The 16234-nt window shown below is 39.5% G+C and overlaps 1 long non-coding RNA gene across 4 annotated transcripts in view, besides 1 other annotated feature; it reads right to left on the bottom strand.

The window, feature by feature from the left end:
- Nucleotides 1-16234, bottom strand: part of LOC105369715 (uncharacterized) — a 182759-nt gene that overhangs the window by 142775 nt on the left and 23750 nt on the right. For all 4 annotated transcript variants that reach the window (XR_931474.1, XR_001749060.1, XR_001749061.1 and 1 more), the window contains exon 3: nucleotides 2240-2418. This is a non-coding gene — a long non-coding RNA (uncharacterized LOC105369715). The remainder of the gene's footprint in view (nucleotides 1-2239; nucleotides 2419-16234) is intronic.
- Nucleotides 13971-14140: an enhancer, noted in NCBI's record as "experimental_28029 CRE fragment used in MPRA reporter constructs". NCBI's record gives its function as "activates a minimal promoter by MPRAs in K562 erythroleukemia cells, with activity observed for both the introgressed and non-introgressed 12:30178501 variant alleles {active_cell/tissue: K562}" and the evidence as "EXISTENCE:reporter gene assay evidence [ECO:0000049][PMID:34662402]".

A 16234-nucleotide genomic window follows, 5' to 3' on the forward strand; every position in this document is an offset into this window, starting at 1 on the left:
TAATAAGGGTACAGCCCTCATTACTGGCAAGGGTTCCCAAAACTATTATTCTAAGACACATTTAAGATGCAAAGAACTTTGTCTTATTTTTGCCCTTATCAAATTGTATTGATTAAGTAACCATCTGTTTCCAAAATTGTAGTGAAGTCATATAAAACAAGGTAAGGGCTGACTGCTCCCTAAATAAAATCATTTGAATAAGACACTGAAAAGTCTCAAGGGAGTTGGAGTAATTGATTGTTAGGAAATAAAAAAGTTTTGATATCCATTTAATAAATGGATAAATTTGATAAATTTGAAAAAACTTGATAAATTTACGTTTTAAAAGTGTCTTAAATTTTTTTTTAAGAGGCAGGATCTCACTATACTGCCCGGGATGGACTTGAACCCCTAGGCTCAAGCAATTCTCCCACCTTAGCCTCCCAGGTAGCTGGGTTGAAATCCATTTCAAAGTAAAATATATGGTTTTGTCATTTCTAATTCCTAGTTCAACATCAGAATAAAAAATTATTTCTTCAAATTATTTTGGTTTATAGCACTCTCTTTCAGTAAATGTCATTCTGATATATCATTCATAAAGTAAATCATTACAGAGATTGTTTAGTCAAATGACCCCATTCCAGTTTGCTGACTGGAATGAAAGAGAAAATCAGGAATTAACAAGACAATTAAAATTTATTTACAAGGCACAAGGAACTTTTGTGTCTTGCTTATAATCATACAGCCGATTAATGGAAGAACCAATTTATCTCCTGATTTAGGAATTTTCTAGGCATCTGAAGAGGAACTCAGGATGATTGCAGGTTAATGAGACAAAAGACAAGCTTCAGAACAGTACAAATATTCCAAATCTAAGTGGCATTATGTAATCACCAATATCTGAACACTGTTGTAACTTTAAAACCTTATGTTTGTCAAGGCCAAATTGGCATGAGATTTTCCTTGTTTTTTTTTTTTTTTGGAAAAAAGAAAGATTAGTTAAAATGATACATAATCAAACACAATCATTTTATGCAAATCAACATAGACAACTACTTCAATTACATTTCAGAAAATGTACATGTCTGCTGAAAAACTTTGCAAAAACTTTTGCTGCTGAAAACCTACATGTACTCAAATCAATATTTCAAATTTGCTATAAATCTTTCAGTTGTGCACAAACCATTATAAATTAAAGTGAATGGGCTTGAATTTCATCTTGTACAACAGTCTGTGAGGCTGTTTTTAAAGCCATTGTAATAAAAACCTTAAATCCTTATAGACCTAATTTTTATATGCACAAAAGTTGTTCTCTCTGAACAAATAAATGATGGTGATGGACAGCAGATCTCATTAAAGAGGAAATCAAATGCAATAATTATGTAGGCATGTAAAAGACTCTCTTGGCCACCACAAACCTACCCGAAGAAGAGTTTGCTGACTGGAATGAAAGGGAAAACCAGGAATAACAAGTCAATTAAAATTTATTTATGCTCCAGTGTAGCAGATTGTATTTTCTAAAAATGGCACAGCAGTATTTCTGGTCCCATATGCTCCTTCTTGAATTTGAGTGGAGCTTTGTGCCTAAATGAATGGAAAGTGGCAGAACAGATTCTGCATCATTTTTAAGGCTGGGTCATAAAGGAGATAGGGCAGTTTGCCTGATCCCTTTCTCAGGATGCTTGCCATTTGAACTCAGCCATAACTGAGGAAGCGCGAGCCCCTGGAAGAGGCCACCTAGAGGTAATCGCGCTGACAGCTCCAGCCCAGCCCGACCTGTGAGTCAAGGAGCCCTGGAATGTTTCTAGTTCCCATCTTAGAACTGCCCTAGCTGACACCAAATGGGGCAGAGATGAGCTATCTCCACTGAGTCCAGCCTAAATTGCAAATTCAGGAGCAAAACAAATGTTGTCATCATAAGCCACTACTTTCATGGTTTGCCACTTGTTTATTGATAACCAGAACATCCAGGTTTTGAAAGGTACAGTCAGGAAGGAAAAATTAATTTTTATTTAATTCTTTATTGGCTTTCAACTGTCTCCACATTTTTAAATTTTCATTGAAGGGCAGGATAAGTAAAGACCAATGTAAACCTTCAGTGTGCTGGATTCAACAGAGAAAGCCCTCAAATGAAAGCCTGACACCTCAACATTCACATGTGGGACACAGACACAACATTACCATCCAAAAACATCAGATATTAGTATAATAGAGTCCCTAGGCTGAGCCTAAGTAAAACCCTAATCAAAGGAGACCCTACCTTCAACAGCCTCATTCTTTGCTTCCTGCTCCTTTCAGCCTCACTGTTCCCAAGGCACCTGGTTCTTCCTGGCAGCAAAACAGCTGGAAATTTGAGTCACACTAAGGCAGCGTGGAATATTTAAGCAGTCTTCTCAGATGACTTATGGGGGAAGAGGAGAAGCACAAGGAGAAGCAAAGCTGTATATAAAGAAAATTGATTATTAATGTTATTGGTTTAGGTGCCAGTCTGGGAGAGTGTTTGAGCTGGAGAGTTTGCTTGCCACCTGATATAGACTGAATAATTTTATACCCTTTAATTTCATAAGTTGAAATTCTAACCCCCAATGGGAAGGTATTAGGAAGTGGGGCCTTTGAGACATAGTAAGGTTTAGATGAGGCCATGAGGGTGGGACCCTCATGAATGGAATTAGTTTCCTTATAAAAGGGATCTCACAGAGCTCTCTCTCATTCTGTCTGCTGCGGAGGATACAACGAGAAGTCAGCAGCCTGCAGTCTGGAAAAGAGCCCTCATCAGAACCTGACCATGCTGGCACCCTGATCTTAGATTTCCAGCCTGTGAGAAATAAATTTCTGTTGTTTATAAGCCATCCAGTCTATGGTACTTAGTTACAGCAGTCCAAATGGACTAAGACAGCACCTCTCAATTATATCCATAAGTAGGAGCATACTAGGCAGAAGTCAGAATGTACAAAGACAGGAAGACATAAAATGCCACAGTGCATTTAGGGGCTATTCTGTATTTTTTCAGTGTAATGTGGCAAGAGAGGAATGGCAGAAAATTGAACTAGACATGTGGGCAGAAGAGAGAAAGTAAGGGTCTTGCGTTCCCTGCTGTGGAGTTAACCTTTCTGCAGTGGCCATTCAGAATCTGCCCAAGAGTCCCATTGCATAGGAAGAAAGTGCACAGATCAAGAGGCAGCAGGTCCAGAAGCAAGTCGTGGGTCTGTACTTTTTCTCTTCCTGTCTTTAGATGCCTACGGAGGCTCAGGGCTCAGTGGGGCTGAGTGATTGCAGAGACTCTTCAGCCCTGAAAGTCCGTGATCTGTTATGTTACGCCATCATGTGTGGCCATGATGAGACAAGGAGGGTGGAGATTTCAGTGTGAGCTGTGAGCTGTGGAGGCCACCAGTCTCCACTTTTTCTAGGGCACTGGCATGAAGATGCAGGGAGTGAATCTGTGTTTTTCTTTACTTTTAAAGCATTCAATTAAAGACCGTGACAAAATACCCAAATTCCATGAGGATAATTTTGGAAAATAATAATAGTCATGAATTCTTCTTTAACATCACATTCTACTTTTCACCACATTATTTTTCTTCCCTCCTCCCCAATTAGCCAAGTTGTTTTTAAAATATTTAAGATGATATTTCTTTAAGTTGCACATGCAACTGCCAAGTAAAGAATTGGAAAATTAGGCAAAAATATGTCACTGAGATATGTCTGCATATTCAAGGATAAGGAACACTGGGAGGAGAGCCCACTCTTGCTACTGGGATCAAACTTTGATCAAAAATTGGTTAAACATTTTTATATCTTATTTTGACAAAACCGTCTAAAAAATTACAGCTTATTTCAGCCAAATAAGTTCAGATGAAACTCAAACACACTGTGAGGGACCAGAAAGAAGGCATTTGTGGCATTTTCCAAAATAAACATAGTGCATTCATATCAGATAAAAGAGACCAATGGAAATGTACATATTCCTAATTACACTAAGAAGGGAAGAGATATGAGAATTAAAACAGCTAATGATACAGCCAACTTTGACACAGTATTTGTCTGCCCTTGATTAACCATGTGACTTTTAAATTTTTTAATACTTTATTACCTACATATTAACAAAGTTGATCATTGCTGACCTATTGTACCTCAAGTAAGCCTGTGAAAATAAATGGTGTGATATTCATAGATGCCCTGTAGTAGGTATTAGCGAGCTTGAATTTCATTTTCTAGCTCTGGCAAGTCTTTCTGAGCTGTAAGGAGGTAAATATTTTTTCTCAACACTCCTGTCAGGGTTTCCTAGGTGACTGAGGATAAGCCCAGAGAGTCGCTCAGACACCAGCAGCACAGCCACACATCTGGCCAGGCAACTCAGGGAAGAGCAGCAGGTTTTCTCAGGCTGTAAATCACTGCAGAGGAAGCCCAGCTTGGGGCTGAAGAGTCACCTGAAAGCACAGCTTGCAGAGCACAGGGCACATTGGGGAAACACACACAGAGACACAGACACAAGCAGACAGACACACAGACACATACACAGAGATATAAAATGTGTCTGCATATGTACACAAAGGTACACACACACACATACACATACATATGCACAATCCTCCTACACATACACAGACAATACAGACATGGACAATCAGACAGACACACACAGATGCGTACACACCCCACACATCTCCATTCATGTAAATGATGAAGGCAGACACAGATCCATGCACATGCCCACACATGTGCACAAAGATAGGCAAACAAACAGATGCACAGACTTATACTACCCCACACGTATATAGACAAGACAGACATGGACAGACACACGTACATATACATCCACACATGTACACAAAGACATATATGCACACAAACGTGCAAACCTGCACAGAGACAGAAACAGACACACAAAAATCCACATAGACACCCAGACCTACTCACTCTTCCCAGCCACAAGTCATGGCCTGCAGTGTGGGGTGCACGTACAAGAGAAGCAGCAGCCACCCTACCCCATACAACATGAACTTCATCCACTGCAGGCTGCTGCCTTCCCACAAAGGCAGAAAATAGGCCTCATAATATTAATTAATATTATTATTTCTAATACAACATGTTCTAACTCTAAACGGGATCCGGATGTATTTGGGGTGTGGGGTTATTTCTCACAGTTGTGCGCATAGCACAGTTATATTTCAGTCTTAAGAATTTATTTGGCAGCTCTAGGCTCTAGCTGTCTGCATCCAATTTATCCATCTTCCCGTGAGCTGATGACAGTAAAGCTTCTCCCTTCAGGCCCTGGATTAAGACACTTGCCAAGCTGACAACCAGTACGGCGAGTCTCTGCTTACTTAGACTCCCCACTGGATTTACTTCAAAGCCCACATATTCTGAAAATTCGTAATCTGTCCCACCAACATGTATTAGACACAGCGGTTCAGAAAAGGTTTGCCCAACAGGTATGAGGCAAAACCTCAACACACAGACAAGCCTGCAATTAGGGGGTCACAGCATGCCTCTCTTGGGTCTCCTCTCCTTTCTGCCTCTCTTCTCGCAGCAACGAAGATACTGCTTCTTTCCTCCTTGCCATCGATTACAATCCATAGAGTGAAACTCGGAGGATACAGATCTAAACAGCATATTTGAGTTTTTATGTTGTAGCAAGACAGTGGTGACTTTGAGCAAACAGGTCATGGAAGCTTTAGATCTTCCACTCGTCCTTTGAGACTCACCTTCCCTTATCCAGGAAAGCTTCCTTGACTACACTACTCCACACACACCTCCCTCTCCACCACCCACCTCTTCAAGGTATTTCCAGTACCCAGTACAAAATTCTATTGTTGGTCTTAACTCACTGCTTTCTATCGTTTATGTTGCTGTGTTTTCTGTTACTATGTAAGTTTCTTTGGGGCATGCACCATCTATTCAAATTTCTCATCTCAGGAGCAGGCACATACCTAATAGGTCCTCAATAACGATCGTCCTACCACATCAATAACAATGTGATATGCTAGGAAAAATCAGTGGCTCAGGTTGTACGTTTATCACCAGGATTTTCAGGCACTAGTGTGGCTCTCTGGAACTTCTCACTAAGGTTCTCTTCCATCTCTGTAATCCACTAACACACAGTAGATGTGACATGAGTTGAGGTGGCATCTTCTCAGGCTGAGTGCACAAGAGTGTCTCATAATAGTTTAACAGAATTGACACTTGCAGAAAATATTTTTCATCAGCGTAATGCATGTGCTGTTTGAAATTTTTTAATTGTATTCATAGTTCTTTGTTACTCCTTATTCCCTAATGACTATAATAACTTTTTTGCTTAGAGGAATCAACATGTCTAAGAGATATTTCTTGTTTTCATTAATCAAAACAAGCTTTTAAATAGAAAATGATAAGTATTTTTGATCAACTGAAACTCACCATACATCATCAGATTGTACAATTCTTTCTTGACATTCTTGAGAAATATGTTCATAAATCCAGTAACATGAGATTGAGCCATCAAATAGGATATTTGCTAGTTAAGTGACTCCTATTCATGAATCTTGCAGCCTGGCAATCTAAATTTATGCCAGGTACTTAAATTCTTATTTGATCCTCGCAGCAAAGTGATAGAAGTAAGTATTATTATCTACATTCAAAATTGCTATATGTCTTAGTTCTTTGGGTCCTATTAATTGAGTCAAGCAGAGGGCCAGGTTTATTTAAAAGATCACAAAACTTTTAATTCACTAACCTTATACTTGTTAATACCACCAATGAATTAGCCTTTACAATTTTGCAGATTTTATAATTTACAAATTTTACAATTTAGCTTTTCCAAAGGCCAAATTTCTTCTGCAAGAGGCACTACCACATGCAATAATGATCAGAAAGCTGAAGATAGATGAAAATTCAGAGTGTTCAAACAGTGATACTTTACATTGCTGTTCTTGGGGCCAGAAGCAGATCTCTATGTATCACCCTTTTGGTTTGGTCTTATTTTGTTTTAAATCAGTAGGATTAAAATTCTCAAAAACTAGGTCATGAGTTTAAACTCCTTACCTCTTGAAAATTACAATCAGTACATTTTATTATGCATAAATTATACCTCAATTAAAGATAGAACTGTTGATCTTCCAAGAGCAAAACATGACTTTTCTGGGTAAAGTAGGGTGGGATAGTGCAGCTATAAATTTTTTTTTACTACAAACATAAATAAACAAGTAATAGCTCTTTATAGAAATGTGAAATATATTCTGTTTATATGTTTTCGAACGTTCAAAGGGAAGCAAGATGCAGCCTTTTTCACTTCTCTAGAAAAGGCAAGATGGGAAAAGGACAGAGTGCAGCACTGAAACTCCACTCACAGGTTGAGTTAAGCAATTGCTAAGGAGAAGCAGGAGGACTTTAGTGAATTATAAACATGAATAAATCTTTTTCCAATTGGAAAGAAACCATTTCAGGGCTTTGTGGACATCAGGGGAGTATCTGATAACATGAAGTTACTTTATCGTCATTACATGTGGTTACAGTCAGAAATGGGGAAGCAAGCAGAGAACTCTGTGCATGTGCAAACGCACACACATGTGTGTTTTAAGAAGACAGAAAAAGGAGATGAAAGGAGGAGGTTGGCCTCAATGTCCTATCAGATCTCTTCCAAATTATAAATTCTATAAGTGCTATGAGGGTTAGACTCAGACAAGTCAAAGGGAAGAAACCAAACCCAACAATAAACAAACAAATAAAAACAAAACATCTAATAAGCTGCAACTGGTAGACAGTAAGAGAAAAACTATCATCTCACAATATAATTCTTATATGCCTTATACCTTCATGGTAAACTTACCGGGTAAGTAAAATTATTCCTACTTTAAACATATAGAAACTGCAGCTTAAGGAGATTAAATAATTTAGCCAAGTTTATCCAAACAGTGAGAGACAGTGCTGGTTTCCATTTGATGTTTGCGTGACTCCAAAGCCTGTCTTCTTCTCACAGCTTTCTGACTTTAGCCCCCAGAGCCATTCTCAAATATGGAAAGTAATTTCAGTCTGTCTACTGCTTGTCTGTTATGTAGCCAACATGCACTCTGCCAGCAGATGAGACACTGCAATGCAGGGGCTGCGAGGCAGACTGGATCATGGTGTTTTAGGAATGTCTCTATACTGTGTGTCTCTAACATGGAACATTATGGCTTTACTTTCCCAGCTGAATGCAGACATAGCAATGCTATAACCTAGCGAGATGCAACTATACTACATGTCAAGAATATGAGATCGTGGATATTAGTCATTTGTTGGATGCACAGTTTGCAAATATTTTCTCCTGTAGTTTGTTTACTCTGTTGTTAGTTTCTTTTGCTGTGCAGAAGCTCTTTAGTTTAATTAGGTTCATGCTCAACATCACTAATCATTAGAAAAATGCAATTTGAAACCATAATGAGATACCATCTCACACCAGTCAGAATGGCTATTACTAAAAAGTCAACAAAATAACAGATGTTGGCAAGGATGTGGAGAAAGGGAATGTAAATCAGTTTATCTCCTGTGGCAAGCAGCTGGAGATTCCTCAAAGAACTAAAAATAGAACTATCATTCAACCCAGCAATCCCATTACTGAGTATCTACCCAAGGGAAAATAAATTGTTCTACCAAAAAGACACCTGCATTTGTATGTTTATCACAGCACTATTCACAATAGCAAAATCATGGAATCAACCTAGGTGCCTATCAGCAATGGATTGTATAAAGACAATGTGGTACATATACACCATGGGATACTACACAGCCATAAAAAATAATAAAGTCAAGTCCTTTGGAGCAGCATGGATGTAGCTGGAGGCCATTCTCCTAAGTGAATTGACGCAGAAACAGAAAACCAAACACTGCACATTCTCACTCACACATGGAAGATAAACAATGGGTATACATGGACATAAGCAATATGACAGTAGGGATTCCAGAGAAGGCAAGTGTTGAAAAACTACCGATTGGGTACTGTATTAGTCTGTTCTCATATTGCTATAAAGAAATGCCTGATACTGGGTAATTTATAAAGAAAAGAGGTTTAATTGGTTCATGGTTCTGCAGGCCGTATAGGAAGCATGGCTGGGAGGCCTCAGGAAACTTACAGTGATGGTGGAAGGTGAAGGGGAAGCAGGCAAGTTTTATATGGCCAGAGCAGGAGGAAGAGAGAAGACGGGGGAGGTACCACAGACTTTTAAATAACCAGATCTTGTGAGAATTCTATCATGAGAACAGCACCAAACAGAGAAATCCACCCCTATGAACCAATTACCTACCACCAGGCCCCACCACCAACTTTGGTGATTACAATTTGAAATGAGATTTGGGCAGGGACACAAATCCAAACCATATCAAGAACTATGCTCATTATTTGGGTGATGGGCACAATAGGTGTCCAGATCTTAGCACTCAGAATTATGTAATGTATCTATGTTACAAACCTGCACATGCACCCCTTGAATCTAAAAACAAAACAAAACAAAACAAAAGAATATGAGGTGTTTACCAATTAGCCTGTCCCATTAATTTACAGGATTATGTTAGCACTCAGCATCTGGAATAACAGGCACAGGCATGTGTCTGCAGCCTTAATATTTTACCTTAGGAATAAAAACAATTATATAAGAATATTCTTCTCTTTTTATTTATCTTAACATACATAATGCAAATATTCTGTTGAAATTGCTCTTCTCAATAAGAAAAGCTAGAGAAGGCTGGAGAACATGTACATTCCAGTAACCACAGAGGCTCTAGGAACAAACAGCATGGTTGGAAATCAGCCAGGCGGGATAAAGGTCTTCCTAAACATTGAATCCATACAAACTCCATTACTTGTCATCACAACTACAATGTTTCCCTTTAGTACACAATTCTTCACTCCATAAAGTTTTTTTGTTAATTTCTCAGTAATACCTTATGATAATCTTCTCATGATCTCTCAATCTTGTAACATATTTGTTACAGGGTATTATACTTTTCACTAGAATCACATAACGTTTGCTTTAGGATTCTGACTTTGCTCAAATTAAGTAAGCAAGCCTTGGGCCAATTATTCTACTACTAATAAATAGAAAGTGCATCCATTTATTTGCTCACTGAACAAATATTTTCCAAAATCTAGTCTATGCAAATCCCTCTCCTGGCACCAGGGATACATTGGTGAACAAAACAAAGTCCATGGACTTTACATGATACAGGGGAGCTAGACAACAAATAAATTCACACATGCACAATAAAATGTCAGATAGCTGTAAGTGTCATGACAGAATAGCAATCCAGAAAAAGCTATGTGGGATGACAGAAAGTGCTATTTTAGGCAGTAGTTAGAGAAAGCTTCTCTGAAAAGATCATTCAAGTATAGATCTAGATTAAAATATAGGAATAACCAAACAATTATAAGGGGAAGAGGGAAGAGCATTTCAGACAGAAGAAACAACAACTGCAAAGATCTGAGGTCTGTTGCTAGATGGCATTTTGGCTGACTCTCTGCTATGATTATAGAAAATAAAATCATCTATCAGACCTCTAATCCAAAGTCAATATGAAGCTTCATTTTCCCACAGTAGATAATGTACATATACAGAGGCAAATATGAACACATACAATTATTATAGTGTTGCAGTTTGAGGGACTCCAGCACAAGGTAGTGTATTCATCAAAACTCTCCAGAGAAACAGAGCCAACAGGATGTGTACATATATAGAAAGGGATTTATTATAAGGAATTGGCTCATGGGATTACGGAGGTTGACAAGTCCAAATCTGCAGTGTGGGCTGGCAGGCTGGAGACTCAGGGAAGCCTATAGCGTACATGAGGTCCAAAGGCAGTCAGCTGGAGAATTCCTCCTTGCTCAAGGAGACTAATTTTTGTTCTCTTTAGGTTTTCAACTGTTTGAATGAGAACACACACACACACACTATGATGGAGAATCTACTTTACTCAGTGTTCACTGATTTAACTGTTACTCTTATCCAAGAACATCCTACGAGTTGACACACAAAATTAATCATCACAGGCAGTATGGCTTCTGGGGCAACAGGAGGGGAATGTGTGCTGAGACCAGGCAGTAAATGCCGGGTATTCATTCACTCAGGCAGGTGGAATTGGGAAGTCTAAATGGTGGTATTGGTCTAAGAGAGATATGTTCACATGTGGCAGGAGCAAAGACAGCTGGGTACACTAAGCATCGAGCAGGAGATGGGATGAAATACCAGGACCCCTGTCACATCCACATGCCAGGCCTGTGCTCAGAGCCAATCCAGAGCTCAGTGGGAGGAGGAAGGTGCACTACAATTGAGGAGCCGCTTAGAGACCCAGGCCTTACATCTTGTTCAACACACCTCAGTCTGGTTGGCAGCAAAGGAGATGATGATGGTCAGGCAAGTCCTAAACCATGAAATCGTAGGTTCAGAATGCTTAAATTTGCAAGTGGAGCCATTGGTGAAGTTAGATTTGATTAAATGGAGAAAACAGGGGTAGAGAAAATGAAGAGAGCTAATGTACATCTGTGCAAATTAGACGCATTCATTAATAGTTTTGTTCCTATGAAAATGTATATGCCTGGCACAAGTAGCCTTCTGTCATTACTTAGTACTGCTCAGGAAAATATTTGTCCACCAAAATCTTCTGGGTCACTCTCACTTGAGTCATTCATTTGTCACTAAATTTCGACACATAGAAAATGTCTTTATTCTACCAGCTAAAATCAACAAACGACAGAGACTAAAATTCTAGTTTTATTCACTTGGTGAAGATACTAGTAATTTGGAGCAATGTTTCCTTAAGGCAGATAAGAATTCAGCAAGCTTTATTCAACAAACTTGCAGAGAAATTTCTGGTTTACTTCCAGGACACATTGTATGAAAGAAACAATAAATCTGCTAAGCATCTATCTTAGCTGCTCAGAAAAATGTGGGAGATTTATTTGTATAACTGAGCTTTGCAGGGAACTACTATTAATAGTGTAGTTGATTCCTATTATGAATCAAAGTATTATCCAAAAGTAAAGTATCTCGTAAATCAAAATATAGTGTATCTCTTTGGACAAGATCTACTTTCCTACTTCTAAGTACATGGTGATAAAGTATGATGGATTGCTTAGGTGCTTAAGAAGTAGTTAAAAAGCTATTTTCAAAATAAACTCACTTGAATGAATAGTCTCTCCACTTTTAATTGTGCCCTCAAATACCTGCATTCTAATGCTTAGACAGGAAATGTTAACAGACTAATAAAATAAAGAAAAGATCCTGTGTTTTAAAATGTCTCAAATACAATCATGTGCCACATAATGGGACTTTAGTAAGTGACAGACCACATGTATGATGGTGCTCCCTCAAGATTATAATACTGTATTTTTACTGTATCTTTCTCATGTTTATACATGTTTAAATAAGCAAATACCATTGTGTTAAAATGGCCTACAGGATTCAGTGCAGTAACATGCAGTGCAGGTGTGTAGCCTAGGAGCAATAGGCTCTACTATAATATTAGTCTATTTTCATACTGCTATGAAGAAATACCTGAGACTGGGTAATTTATAAAGAAAAAGAAGTTTAATGGACTCACAGTTCCACATGGCTGGGGAGGCCTCACAATCATGGTGGAAGGAGAAGGAGGAGCAAAGACACATCTTACATGGTGGCAGGCAAAAGAGTGTGTGCAGGAGAGCTGTCCTTTATAAAACCATCAGATCTTGTGAGACTTATCCACTATCATGGGAATAGCATGGGAAAAATCTGCCCCCATGATTCAATTAACTCCCACAACATGTGGGAATTATGAGAGCTACAACTCAAGGTGAGATTTGGGTGGGGACATAGCCAAACCATATCATTCTGCCCCTGGCCCCTCCCAAATCTCATGTCCTCACATTTTGAAACCAATCATGCCTTCCCAACAGTCCCCCAAGTCTTAATTCATTCCAGCATTCACCCGCCTATGAGCCTGTAAAATCAAAAGCAAGCTAATTACTTCCTAGATACAATGGGGGTACAGGCATTGGGTAAATACACCCATTCCAATAGAAAGAAATTGGATTGGCCAAAATGATGGGGGAACAGGCCCCATGCAAGTCTGAAATCCAATAGGACAGTCATTAAACCATAAAGATTCAAAATGATCTCCTTTGACTCCATGTCTCACATCCAGGTCACAACGATGCAAGAGGTGGGCTTCCACAGCCATGGGCAGCTCCATCTCTGTGGCTTTACTGGGTACAGCCCCGCTCCTGGCTGTTTTCATGAGCTGGCATTGAGTGTCTGTGGCTTTTCCAGCTGCATGTTGTAACCTGTCAATGGATCTACAATTTTGGGGTCTGGAGGACAGTGGCCTTCTTCTCACAGCTCTACTAGGCAGTGCCCCAGTGGGGACTCTATGTGAGGTCTCTGACCCCACATTTCCCTTCTGCACTGCCCTAGCAGAAATTCTCCATGAGGGCTTCACCTCTGCAGCAAACTTCTGGCTGGACATTGAGGCATTTCCATACATCCTCTGAAATCTATGTGAATGTTCCCAAACCTGAATTCTTGCCTTCTGTGAACCAGCAGGCCCAACACCATGTGTAAGCCACCAAGGCTTGGGCCTTGCACCCTCTGAAATAATGGCCCAAGCTGTACCTTGGCCCCTTTTAGCCACTGCTGGAGATGAAGCAGCTGGGATGCAGAACACCACATCACAAGGCTGCAAAGAGCAGGGGGGCACAGGGTCCAGCCCAGGAAACCATTCTTTTTCTCCTAGGCTTCCAGGCCTATGATGGGAGGGTCTACCATAAAGGTCTCTGAGAGGCCCTGGGAACATTTTCCGCGTTGTCTTGGCAATTAACATTTGGCTCCTCTTTACTTATGCAAATTTCTGCAGCAAGCTTGAATTTCTCCCCAGGAAATGGGGTTTTCTTTTCTGTTGCATCAGCAGCCTGCAAATTTTCCAAACTTTTATGCACTGCTTCCTCTTGAATGCTTTGCTGCTTAGAAAACTTTCCCCCCAGATACCTTAAATCATCTCTCTCAAGTGTAAAGTTCCACAGATTTCCAGGGTGGGGGCAAAGTGCCACCAGTCTCTTTGTGGAGCAAGAGTGACCTTTGTTCCAGTTCCCAACAAGTTCCACATCTCCATCTGAAATCACCTCAGCCTGGACCTTACTGTTCATATCACTATCAGCATTTTGGTCAAAGTCATTCAATAAGCCTCTAGGAAATTCCAAACTTTCCCACATCTTCCTGTCTTCTTCTGAGCCCTCCAAACTTCTCCAACCTCTGCCTGTTACTTAGTTCCAAAGTTGCTTCCACATTTTTGGGTATCTTAATAGCAGTACCCCATTCTACTGGTACCAGTTTACTGTATTAGTCCATTTTCATACTGTTATGTAGAAATAGCTGAGACTAGGTAATTTATAAAGAAAAAGAGGTTTAATTGATTCACACTTCCACATGGCTGGGGAGGCCTCACAATCATGGTAGAAGTCAAAGGGGGAGCAAAGGCATGTCTTACATGGTGACAGGCAAGAGAGCCTGTGCAGGGGAACTGCCCTTTATAAAACTATCAGATCTTGTGAGATTTATTCACTATCACAAGAACAACACTGGAAAAACCTGCCCCCATGATTCAGTTACCTCCCACTGGGTCCGTCCCATGACACTTGGGGATTATGGGAGCTACAGTTCAAGATGAAACTTAGTGGGGGACACAGCCAAACCATATTAACTATATAGCCTGGGTGTGTAGTAAGCTCTCTACTACCTAGGTTTGTGTAAGTCCGCTCTATGATGATAGCACAAGGACAAAATCACCTAACAACATATTCCTTAGAACATATTCTTGTCATTAAGCCACACATGACTGTATCTTTATTTTTCTGAATTCAGACATCCATACACCTATTTTCACTGTTTCATGACATTAAAAATGCATCTTTAAAAGGACTGCCTTTTATCAACTTACATCTCTTAAACATATATAAAAAAGAAGTTTTTCACAATTCATATGAGTCTTAAAATTGTATTAAAGAGTGAACACCTAACACATTAATTACTAGTTGACAGTTATTTCTTTCCTAGAAAATCCCTCTAAGAACTTTAAGAGTTTCAGACGCAGGAAAAAATAGGGTAAGACTGTTTCTCCCACAACTCTCGGCATTCAATTATTTCTACATAAAGATATTTAGTACATAGTGAAGACCTAAATCTATAGGAGTGAGAAGAATGACCCAAATCATCCAAAAAAAAAAAAAAAAAAAAAGACTGTAGTGAACTGGAATAGACAGGAAATCCCCAGCATTCCTTCCAATGAGTCACTTTTTAATATAGAATACCAAAGTTCTCCTGTTGTGAACCAAGATAAGCCAATTTGACCATCTGCAAAAGGCCAATGCCTTTGTGAAACCTGTAGCCTCTGGCCATGAGTCAGTTGAGATATAAGAATGAAAGAAAGTCTTAGACAAAATTCTGCTGGAATGGAAACATTTATTAGCAAGTAGATACAAAAAGTCCTATACCACCTGCTTTTGTAAGCTCAAGAGCAAGCTCTTGTAAGCTCTTGTCAGCCTGCTCTGCCTTCAGGCTCTCTTACAAGAATCTTGAATGACAGATTCACTCTGAGATTGTCCAGTACTCTGAGGCAGTACCAGCTCGCCTTCTAGTCAAATCTGAGCTCCAGCTCTATATCTATAAGGCTGCTGGGCCTTTCTCTTTTAAGGGCTATGGTGCCGGTACACTCTTGCCAGTCAATTGCTTGGTTTGCCCAGTACTTATTTCAATAATATAAGATTATTTTCTAACAACCTTCCTACTGAGGAACATACTCTGGGATGGATTGGAAGTGCTCGTGTAGACTCTGTGATGATTAATTTCATGTGTCATTTCGGCTAGCCTATGCTGTCCAGTGGTTTGGTCAAATGCCTGTCTAGATGTTACTGTGAAGTTATTTTTTAGATGTGATTAACATTTATAATTAGTAGACTTTAAAGAAGATTACCCTCCATAAAGTAGGTTTGCCTCATCCAATCAATTGAAGACCTTAATAGCGAAGACTAAAGTTTCCTGAGGAAGAAGTAATTCTGCCTCAACCCTGCAACATAGAGTCCCTCCTTGTCTGAATTTCCAGTCTGTCCTAAAAATTTCAAACTTGCCAGCTCCTAAAATCATGTGAGCCAGTTCCTTAAAATCTCTCTCTCTCTCTCTCTCTCTCTCTCTCTCTCTCACACACACACACACACACACACACACAGTTTCTCTAAATAATCTAGGTTAATTTAGATCCCAAAGGAGCACAGACTTGATTT

The sequence above is a fragment of the Homo sapiens genome, chromosome 12, assembly GCF_000001405.40.
Source record: "Homo sapiens chromosome 12, GRCh38.p14 Primary Assembly".
Lineage (NCBI taxonomy): Eukaryota > Metazoa > Chordata > Mammalia > Primates > Hominidae > Homo > Homo sapiens.